Source organism: Homo sapiens, chromosome 6 (genome assembly GCF_000001405.40).
Source record: "Homo sapiens chromosome 6, GRCh38.p14 Primary Assembly".
Lineage (NCBI taxonomy): Eukaryota > Metazoa > Chordata > Mammalia > Primates > Hominidae > Homo > Homo sapiens.
Genome location: NC_000006.12, coordinates 70,370,388 through 70,382,237, shown reverse-complemented (window position 1 = coordinate 70,382,237; position 11,850 = coordinate 70,370,388). Strand labels below are relative to the sequence as shown.

The window sequence follows — 11,850 nt, the reverse complement described above, 5'->3', positions numbered from 1 at the left end:
CTTAGCTTACTATAATTTTATTGCTTTATAAACTTTTTAATTTTTAAACTTTTTGACTCTTTTGTAATAATCCTTAGCTTAAACACAAACACATTATATAGCTGTACAAAAACATTTTTTATATCCTTATCCTATAAACTTTTTTCTATTTTAACTTTTTTTGATTTTTTACTTTTTAAACTTTTTTAAAATTAAAAATGAAGACACAGAGACACACATTAACTGGGGCCTACACAGGGTCAGGATCATCAATATCACTGTCTTTCACCTCCACATCCTGTCCCATAAGGTCTTCAGGGACAATAGTGTGCATGGAACTGTCATCTCCTATGGTAACAATGTCTTCTTCTGGGATACCTCCTGAAGGACCTGACTGACGTTGTTTTATAGTTAACATTTTGTTTTAACCTCATCCCTGGTGGTACATAAACTTTAAAAAATATATATATATGTAAATGGAGTACACTTTAAAATAACAGTAAAAAGCGTAGTGTAGGAAATACATAAACTAGTAACACAGTTATACTGCACATAATTGCATGTGTTATGCTTTTTTTTTTTTTTTTTTTTAAGAGATGGAGTCTGGCTCTGTCACCCAGGCTGGAGTGTGGTGGCATGATTTTGGCTCACTGCCAACCTCCGCCACCTGGGTTCAAATAATTCTCTTGCCTCAGCCTCCTGAGTAGCTAGGACAGCAGTGCACGCCACCACGTCTGGCTAATTCTTTTGTATTTTTTTCTTTTTTAGTAGAGACCAGGTTTCACCATGTTGGCCAGGCTGTTCTCAAACTCCTAACTTCAGGCGATCCACCTGCCTCAGCCTCCCAAAGTTCTGGGATTACAGGTGTGAGCCACCGCGACCGGCCATAATGTTATGCTTTTGTAAGACTGGCAGCACCAAGATTTGTTTATACCAGCATCATCACAAACTTGTAAGTAATGTGTTACGCACTACAATTTCACAATGGCTATTGTAACCGCCCAGTGGGTTCGCCTTGCCTGCTGCCTAGACAGAACTGATTTATCGAGACAAGGAATTTGCAATGGAGAAAGAGTAATTCATGCAGAGCTGCTGTGCAGGGGACTGGAGTTTTATTATTATTCAAATCAGTCTCCCCAAACATTCAGGGATCAGAGTTTTTAAAGCTAATTTGACGGGTAGGGCCTTGGGAAGTGGGGAGTGCTGATTGGTCAGGTTGGAAATGGAATCATAGGGGGTTGAAGTTAGGTTTTTTAAATGTCTTCTGTTCTGGGTGAGATGGCAGAACTGGTTGGCCCAGATTACTGGTGTGGGTGGTGTCAGCTGATCCATCGAGTGCAGGGTCTGCAACATATCTCAAGCCCTGATCTTAGGTTTTACAATATTGACGATATCCCCAGGAGCAATTTGGGGAGGTTCAGACTCTTGGAGCCAGAGGCTGTGTGACCCCCTGGGGAGGTTCAGACTCTTGGACCCAGAGGCTGCGTGACCCCCAAACTGCAATTTCCAATCTTGTAGGTAATTTGGTAGTCCTGCAAAGGCAGACTGGACCCCAGGCAAGAAGGGGGTCTTTTCAGGAAAGGGCTGTTATCAATGTTGTTTCAGAGTCAAACCATGAACTGAATTCCTTCCCAAAGTTCCTTGCTCAGGAATAAACAAGGACAGCTTAGGGGTTAGAAGCAAGATAGAGTCGGTTAGGTCTGATCTCTTTCACTGTCATAATCTCCTCAGTTACAATCTTGCAAAGGCAGTTTCACTATGACATCACTGAGTGATAGTTTTTCAGGTCCATTATAATCTCATGGGGCCACAGTCATATATACAGTTGGCCATTGACTGTAACATTGTTATGTGGCACATGACCATAATTATAAATATAGTTACGGTAATTGCAAAGTAGCTGGTTGATTTTCCTGCCTGCCCGCCTCAGGAACTTGTAAGAATACTTAGCTGGATCCATGCATAAGGCTTGGTCATCGTTCTATGGTATAATCAGCGGCAGCCTTCAGGACCCAGTATTTCCAAAGAGATGCAGCTCCAATTTGGAATTCTCCCACCCATGTATTGATGGAATTGCATGTCTACCACCTAATGACTAGGGTCACTATCATTTCTTTCCTGAAGTACAGCATCTGACAGGTCCCCCTTAGTCCACCTCTGCCCTCCTACAGTCCCAGGGAAGAGTTCATGCTGCAGTTTGAGAATGAAAGTAGGCTACAGGCAAAATCCTTTCTTCCTCCGTAGATACTCAGTCTGTTTTCTTTTAAGGCCTTCACCTAAGCAGAGTAGGCCCACACACATTATGAGGGATGATCTGCTTTATTCTAAATCTACTGTTTACATAATAATAACATCCATAAAATACCTTCACAGGAGACTCTAGATTGATGTTTGACCAAGTACTGGGTACTTTGGCCTAGCCCAGTCAGCCCATAAAATTAACCATTACAGTTCCTCACTTTCGGTTTGTCTGGCCCTTCTCTTCATCTGGGACCTATGGAGAGCTGTTTATGGAGCTGAACGTTGCTGGTAGCTTGTGTTGAACATTGTGGTTGCTTTTGTTTTTTCTGTAGCAGATACACGTACAGAAGCTAGTAACTAACTTACAAGTTAATGGATTACTAACTTGTTTCTACTTTAGCTTATTACTCAGTCCTTTCTCATCAATAGCTTATTATTGTTCCCATAGCGATGAACTCTTAACAGTCTCATATATTTTTTGAATGGATAAAGACTTGTTTAACTACACATAAGAAACACTTTAGGTTAAAAATATACATTTGAGGCCAGGTGTGATGGCTCATGCCTGTAATCCCAGCACTTTGGGAGGCTGAGCTGGGAGAATGACTTGAGGCCAGGAGTTTGAGACTAGTCTTGGCAAAATGATGAAACCCTGTCTCTACCAAAAATACACAGATTAGCTGGGTATAGTGGTGCATGCCCATAATCCCAGCTACTCGGGAGGCTGAGGTAGGAGAATCGCTTGAGCATTGGAGGTGGAGGTTGTGATAAGCCGAGATCGCGCCACTGCACTGCAGCCTGGGCAACTGAGGGAAACTGTCTCAAAACAAACAAACAAACAAACAAACAAAAAACAAAGAAGAAGAAGAAATAAAATATACATTCAAAATTATTTCACCAAAAGTTATCTGAGATTTAACAACAACAACAATAAGAAAGTATTTTGGACTTGACTAGAAAGCAGGTATTTATTTTTTGCTCCACTATTTGCTATCCAGGTTTTCAACAGCATACTTAAAATTTTATTTTCTGAAGTACTGTTCTTCTTATTGTTATGCTTGGAAATTGCCGTTATCTGAGCAGTTGTTGGTCGGTTATTAACTCTTTTGATTATAGCCTAGTGGAGGCCAAGGTCATGGGTTCAATTCTCACATAGTCCAGTTAGCCCCACTTGCTTTGGGGCCTGCAGCATCTCTCCTAGACTGTCTCTAGCCACTGTGCAAATGAATGTATTGGACCCACAGGGCACTGTAAAAGAATGAATAAATGTGTGCAAATCTGTAGTTATTTGTGGAAAATCAATTGGAAGTTCATACACCCTATTTACAGTATTCAGTAATGTGCACAGAAAAGCGGGGAATATGAGTGCTTTTAAATTGATATCTTCACTAATTTATTTGTGTTTTTCCTTTCAAAAACAGAAGAAAAATACTCCAAGGGAAATCTCTCTTCTAGTCTTTCTCCTAGACATTTTGAATATTTTCCTAACATTCTATATACATTTTTAAAGAGGGACCTTTCATTTTAGTACCAAAATGATCTCTCAAATTTTCCTTCAGAATACCTTCAATGAGGTAAGGAGGATGTCTGTAAGGCACATGGATATAAATATGATTTTACTTTGTGCTTCTAGAACATTTTAGGTTAGGTCATGATTTTGAAAAGGTTTAAAATATCTAGCACACAAGCAAGTGAATTTCTCATTCTGTTTCTTTCCTTTAATTTTTCTTTTTTGAAAGTAATGTTTTAAAAGTGTGATTAGCATTCTGATAAATGGTTGGGGTGGTTTTTGGTTCAATGTTAGAAATTTCAGTTATGTGTTGTATAACTTAGGGTGCTTTGAATGGGGTGATTAAGAAATGACGAGAGGGACAACTATTTGATATATCAATCTTAGGTTGTGCCTTAACAGCAATTCTTAGAACAGGTCGCCTGTCCACATATACACCATGGAATACTATGCAGCCATAAAAAATGATGAGTTCATGTCCTTTGTAGGGACATGGATGAAATTGGAAATCATCATTCTCAGTAAACTATCGCAAGAACAAAAAACCAAACACCGCATATTCTCACTCATAGGTGGGAACTGAACAATGAGAACACATGGACACAGGAAGGGGAACATCACACTCTGGGGACTGTTGAGGGGTGGGGGGAGGGGGGAGGGATAGCTTTAGGAGATATACCTAATGCTAAATGACGAGTTAATGGGTGCAGCACACCAACATGGCACATGTATACATATGTAACTAACCTGCACATTGTGCACACGTACCCTAAAACTTAAAGTATAATTAAAAAAAAAAAAAAAAAAGAACAGGTCGCCTGTTATTTGTTGTTTCCTATTTGTCCACAGCTAATTTTTTGCAATAGAGGCACCTCAGACTTTAAGGGTTTGAAGCTCCTTATCAGCACTACTGCTTCAGCTAATCTGTTACCAGCTTTCCTGACAGGGACAGCTTTTCAGATTTTATCAAGGTTGGTTGAGAAAGAGCCCAGGACTGTTCATCTTTTGTTGAGAACTGAACTCTAAGGGAATCTAGAATTATCTAATTATGCCATTGGGCAGTATGTAGATAAATCTTATTTCTTCTCATTTCAATAAAACAGCTGATGGTAAAGACTCGTTAAAGTTTTGTGTCAGAATCTGGTAGCATGAATTTGTAAACTTTTAGCCATGACTTCCATAGGTTCACAGGTTGGCAAACTGGGTAACACCACATCCCTATATTTTGCAACTATTTTCACATTAGCACAGTTTCTTATGCAGCTTTTTCTTTTTTCATTCTTGTTTGTTCAATATTTTTCTAAATAATTAAAAAGTATGTTTAATGATGTAAGTATTTCATGTAAAAAAAAGTCAGACATTATAGATGAAGCCCAAGTCCCTGTTGACCACTCATGTAGCTTTTCCAGAGGTAATCACAGTTATTATCAGCTGGTGTGTCTTCCCCTGGCCTTTTCTTCATGTATTCATATACACATATGTATAGGGCATACCTACATAGGAATACAGTATGTGTGTGAATATACAGTTAAAAATATATCATTTTGTCCTTGTTTCTATTTTAGATCTTTTAGTGCCCAGAATATCTATTGTTCGAGTTTTGCTACACTTAGTTATATTTATCCATGGATTTTGTCACATTCCAGACTCCCTTTTTCTTATCAGGTTCTCACACATTTCCAGTGACAGACCTTCACAATTTCTTTTTGTTTTGGTTCTACAATATAGCACAATATGATAATGTAACTTTCATATACTTCATCTTATCACTATACATATTCTAATCTCAGCTAGAAAATTAGTGATAGTACATGCAATATTGGCCAGAAAAAAAAGCCTTTTGTTGTAGTTTCAATCATGAAAGTTTTTTTAAGTGTCATGGAATACCAGTTAGGGATTTTTGGAAAGAGGAGATAAAATTTTTAAACTCCTTCCCTTTCCATGAGTCACAGAGGGTTTAATGATCTTGACGATCTCGAGCTATCTTGGAAGATCCATACTCTGAGACAGAATCTTGTTTCATTGAATGGAAGATAGGTCAGTTGGTCAAAAATATCCACCAATGGCCCACTATAGCCAGGCTTTAGATTTTTTCCTAATAAAAGTTGAGTTAAAGTCAGGTATTTGTATATGTTGAATGGAGTAGGGGATTGTTTCAGCCAGGACTTCTGGTTGCAAAACACCCACCCAAACCATTAGATTGTTGAATTCTAAGTCTGCATGCTCTCTTGTTTCTATGTTTTGGTCTTCCACTATCTGTCTTTATACCGGTCTGGTCTTTCCCGTCTCCTGACCCGCTACAGTTTCTTTTCCCCATAACTGCAGCATGTACTTGGCTTTGTCTCACCTTGGTATGGTTTCAAGTTCTCTCTCCGTGACTTGTCAGTTCCAGAACCTAACACTAGTGGGCTCTCTTTGTCTTTGCTTTATCAACGCTTTTATCTACTAATAAACTAGCCGGCAATCCTGATCCAATCGCGTATGTGTTGGGGGTAGGGAATGAAATTACATGGTACAAACATGGATGTCTGGGCTGGTTCCTTGGGTGAGATTATAGGTAAAGGTAGTTGTATTAATCTCTTCTCATGTTGCTAATAAAGACATACCCGAGACCACGTAATTTATAAAGGAAAGAGGTTTAATGGACTCACAGTTCCACATGGCTGGGGAGGCCTCACAATCATGGTGGAAGACAAAGGAAGAGGAAAGGGACGTCTTACATGCTGGCAGACAAGAGAGCTTCTGTAGGGGAACTCCCCTTTATAAAACCATCAGATCTCATGAGACTTATTCACTATCACGAGAACAGCATGGGAAAAACTCGCCCCCAAGATACAATTACCTCCCACCGGGTCTCTCCCATCACACGTGGGGATTATTACAATCCAAAGTGAGTTGTGGGGGATGGGACACAGAGCCAAACCTTATCAGTAGTTTTCAGAGAAGGGGCTATGGATGGGGCAAGTAATCCCAGACGCGTTTACCACTAGGGACACACTCAATTATTTAAGGGAAAAGCACTTTGGTGAATATGGCAAGATAGTTGATTTTTGTTTTCTTGGAAAGAATAACTCTGTCTTTCCTCCTGTGCATAGCACATTGGTACAATAAACTATGTGTCATTCACAGCACAGGCATGGTGTGACTAAAATTATTGGAATGCAGAAACTGATGTGATGATGATACAATTCTCTGTGGGGATGAGATGCAGAAGACGAGGAAGAGAGGAAGCACAGTTTTTCTTTTAATTTCAATAATGTTAGGAAATTTGCAATTTCTATTTTGCAAAAATAGAAGTATGAATTATGTTTTACAGTGTAAGTACCTGGCTTCATGAATCTAACTCTTTCTCTTTCTCACCTGTATATATGATACTTCAACAAGCTCTCCTGGTTCTACCTGTAAAATATATCTTGAATTACTTCTCACCATATTCACTGGCAATATTATTTTTTGCTTAAAATTCTCTAATGTTTACCCAAAATGATTAGATTAATAACCAAACTCCTTATTGTGATGGACAAGAGCTTATGTGAAGCCTATTGTCCAGACTTCATCTCCACCACTCTCACCCTCATCTACTATGTTCCATCACCTATCTCTATCTCTTCCTCCAACAGCTAGGCTCATTCTCACCTCCATGTGTTTTCACTTGCTGTTCCCTCTACCTAGAACTCCTTTTTCCCAGATCTTCACATAGCTCACTCCTTTTCATGTTTTTGGTATGGGTCCAAATATTACTTTCACAGAGACCTTTGCTGACTCTCTGAGCCAAAGTAGCCCTTCCCCTCTCATAACTCTTTATTTAATCATCCTTTTGAATTTTCTTCATAGCTTTTTCACCACCAAAAATGATCTTATTCTATTTTTAGATACCTGTATTTCTTATCTCAGTCTATTCACTCTCAAGAAGGTCCATGATTGCAAGAACATTGTCTTGTTTATTGATGAATCTCCAATGCCTAGGATAATGTCTAGTTCATAACCAGCACTCTAAATATTTGCTGAATGAATGAATAAAAGAACAAATGATGAATGCTGTCATGCTTCACATTCTGTTATGCTGTTTACAGTTGTGTGTACATTTGTAGTAATATATTGGGTGGGGAACACATTTTGAAATGGGGGATCTTATGCGCCCCTGAACCTCCTCAGTGTTACCATTATAAATACAAATCCTGTCTACTTATCTAGAGACACCTGTGTTAGGTCTTCATAGGGGAATTTAACACAATCCATACTGTCTTCGGATGACACAATAAAGAGGCCAGCAACATTGTTTTTGGAGTCAGATCTGGGTTTCAGCACAGGTTCCACAGCATACTAATTTTGCCACTCTAGGCCATTAGCTTAACCAGACATAAAGTACCTGTACAATGTTCAATAATTGGTGTTAATTGTTATGATCCTCACATTGTATAGTACTTTTCTTAAGTAATTACTAACTTTTCTTAGGTAAGTTGATGATGCATTTTGTATATCATGTGTGGTTGCTACCAGCAGATTGGTTAGTTTGAGAGACAGCACTGATGAGAAATGTTTAAAAAAAAAAAGGTTCCAGGTAAATTGGACCACTTAGCCAGATGCTTTTTCAATATATGTAGTCTTCTAAACAAGTTTTCTTACATTAACAACTTTTATCAAGAAGCAAATAGACATCAACAAGCATTTAGTAAATTTACTAGTGTCCTGTATTATGAAATCTCAGAATTTTGTAGTTTGTAAATAAAATATATGAAGCAAAATGAAGGTGGAGATACATAACTTGATTTTTGAAAACAAAAATTAAACAGGTTTGTATGTTTATTCATTTATCAACATTTTATTGCATATCTACTGATGCTAGGCATAGAGTTGTGTTGAAATCACAAACTTATTTGAAATGTATAACCTTTGAATGTTTGAGCCTCAGTAAAGCATCTGGTATAATACTTCTTAATTTTACTTTCAAACGATGCAAATTATTTAAGATACAAAATGTTACTTGGACCAAAACAATTCAGTAATCGGGCAATAATAGTCTTTTCAACAAATAATGGTGAGACACCTCTATATCCAAATGCAAAAGAATGAAGTTGGAGCTCTACCTCACACTGTATGTGAGGTACATAGTTAACTCAAAATGGATCATAAATCTCATGTAAGAGCAATCAAACTCTTATAAGAAAACATAGGAGTAAATCTTAGTGACTTTGTGTTAGACAATAGTTTCTTAGATACGACACCAAAAGCAAAGGTGACCAAAAAAATGGTGAATTAAACTATGTACAATTTTTTTAAAAGTTTGCCCTACAGAGGATGCCATTAAGAAAGTGAAAAGACAATCCACAGCACAGGAATAATATTTGGAAACCACGTGTCTGATAAGAGATTTATATTCAGAATACACAAAGAACTCATAGAACTCAATAAAAAAAGACGAACAACCCAGTTACAAATAGGCAAAGGATTTGAATAGATATTTCTTTAAAGAAAATATACAAATGACCAGTAAGCACATGAAAAGATGGTTTATATCATCAGGCATTAGGGAAGTGCAAGTCAAGCCACAATGAAATACCATTTCACACCCTCTAGGATGGCAATACAAAACAAACAAACAAACAAACAAACAAGCAAACACAAAAACCCCAGAAATAGTAAATGTTGCCAAGGAGAAATATAGATAAATTGAGATGTTTGTACGTTGCTGGTGGGAATGTAAAAGGTGGAGCTGTTGTGAAAGTTAAGCAGAATTACCAATAACCCAGCAATGCCACTCCTAGGTATGTACTCCAAAATTTGAAAACAAATTCAAACAGATACCTCTACACCAGTGTTCATAGTAGTATGATTCATAATAGCCAAAAAGTAGAAACAATCCAAATGTTCAACTGATTAATGAATAAGGAAAATGTGGGATATCTATACAATGGAATATTTTCAGCCCTAAGAAGGAATGAAGTTCTGATACATACTGAAATACGGATAAATCTTGAAAACATTATGCTAAATGAACAAAATCAGTCACAAAAGACCATATGTTGTATGATTCTATTTATATGAAATATCCAGAATAGGCAAGTCCATAGAGACACCAAATAGATGAGAGGTTGCTGATGAGGTGGGACAGGGAGGGGGATGGATATGACAGCCAATAGACACAGGGATTCTTTCAAGGGGGACAAAAATGTCCTGACATTATGGTGATGGTTGTACAACCCTGTGACTATACTAGCAAGCACTGAATTGTGCACTTTGAATGGCTGGATTTTATGGTATATAAATTTTATCTCAATAAAGCTGTTAAAAATGTTATTTGGAATGAAAATCAGCATGAATATTTATCAATAAAAAGCTAAATTTAAGGCATTTAAATTGCACAATAGATCACCAGATGTTTTCAATTTAAATTCAACTAATTTTTAATCTGTTCCTAATAGTTGCATGCATATATTTACCTGTGTTCATTCCAAAAGTGGGGAAAGGGGGAATCACTGGTTTTAATCCTTCCCTATCCTGTGGTAATTTTTTCATAGCTAAAAATGGATAAATTTCAAGGAATATATTTTATTTTTTACCACCAATTTTCTTCCCTGTTCCCATGTATGACAAATTATAAAATTCTTGTATTCTAAACTTTCATACGGAAAACTTAAATATGATGTAGGGAAATATTATTTATTTATTCTTCTTCTTATCCTCTTTGACCCAAGTTAATACAAACTTTTCTTCTCTATGTCCACCATACAAAGATTCTGTGTTTTGTGTTTTGCTTAAACTACTTTTAAGCCAAGGCTGAGTCTCCAAGTCTATGCCATCTAGTGGCAAGATTGAAGAAATTCTGGTTTCTTTACTAGCTTTAAATGTACAAATGTTGGCAGATGTCCAAGAAATGTTAAGAACCATCAGCAAATTAGTGACTAATCTTTATGTTTACTCTTTAATTCAAAGCAGTGAACTATGTGTTTACATAAAGTTTTTATGACTTTATCAATCTTGTATTTTTTTCAATTTGGCTGCCTGAAATTTAAAACCTAGGAATTCAAGACTTACTAATTTATTGCTAGTTTCTAACCACTTACAATTGAAGCAGGCGAGATTTTACAAAATATTTCTGGGTGCAGTGTAAACAGAAGATAATTGAATAATTTATTATTTTTTTCCAGTAATATTAACTACGTTCAATCTTAAATTCTGATATGTATGTATATCAAATATTGGTTATATTCACTGCTTTAAATTAAACTTTGAGTATAATTTTCCACATTTATATAATGATAGATCTGCATACCATGGGTTTATTTTTATGACTGATGAAATTATGTCTGTCACATTCAAAGCCAAAAATAGTCTGTCCCATTCCTTCCTTAGAATATGTAAAATCCAATATTAGTAATGTCTTTATCTACTGACATTGTAATGAAGCCATTTTTACGCTGTTTTGTAATAAGCATATTGCGTTACTCAGAATATGTCATGCTTACTTCAGAGTGATCTACTTTGATCAAATTGTCAGCATAGAAGTTGCTTTGGGTCAGCTGGTTTTATTCAGCGACAGAAAAATACTATTTTAAAAAATAAAAGTGGAACGTACCCAAGGTAAGTTTAAAGGTGAAATAAAGTACAATTATTTAAAATAGAAATGAGGTGATTTGATTGTGGACTCAGCTCACTTCTGAGTAAATGTTAACTTACTTTCAAAAAAGTTATGTCAGACATGTAGGCAACATGTTCAGTAATATCTTGGATAGGGATTTAAATAAACGCAGCTTCTGGATACTCAGCTGCAGCATTTACATTCAAATGAACCAAAATCTTATTACTGAGGATGAATTTAGAGAGGATAAGCTTAAACCTTAATCCTCAATAAATCATGCTGTTTGGAACGGACACTGGCAAACTATGAATCTTTCCATCACTTTAGAAAATAGATTAGCATATGTGCGCGTTTGTAAATTATTAATGTGTTCATTCTTAACAGGGCTGCACAGGGGTGAAGATGGGGAGGACAGTGAAAACAGCATGTTTAATGCATCATCTTCTTGTCTAAATGCCATTGATTAAGGGCTGCCATGTTTAATTATTGCTAATATTCTCCACAATCCTAAAATTATAGACTGCTAGGTGAGAACCTAAAG

General features: G+C 36.8%; 1 long non-coding RNA gene across 2 annotated transcripts in view, besides 1 other annotated feature; it reads left to right on the top strand.

Annotated features, from left to right (window-relative positions):
• Positions 1-790: 790 nt before the first annotated feature.
• The window catches only part of LOC105377848 (uncharacterized), a 35,578-nt gene continuing 24,518 nt past the window's right edge, over positions 791-11,850 (top strand). For both annotated transcript variants that reach the window (XR_942670.2, XR_942673.1), the window contains exon 1: positions 791-931. This is a non-coding gene — a long non-coding RNA (uncharacterized LOC105377848). The remainder of the gene's footprint in view (positions 932-11,850) is intronic.
• Positions 5,938-6,232: a silencer, noted in NCBI's record as "tiled region #4194; HepG2 Repressive non-DNase unmatched - State 13:Ctcf". NCBI's record gives its function as "represses a minimal TATA promoter and a strong SV40 promoter by Sharpr-MPRA in HepG2 cells {active_cell/tissue: HepG2}" and the evidence as "EXISTENCE:reporter gene assay evidence [ECO:0000049][PMID:27701403]".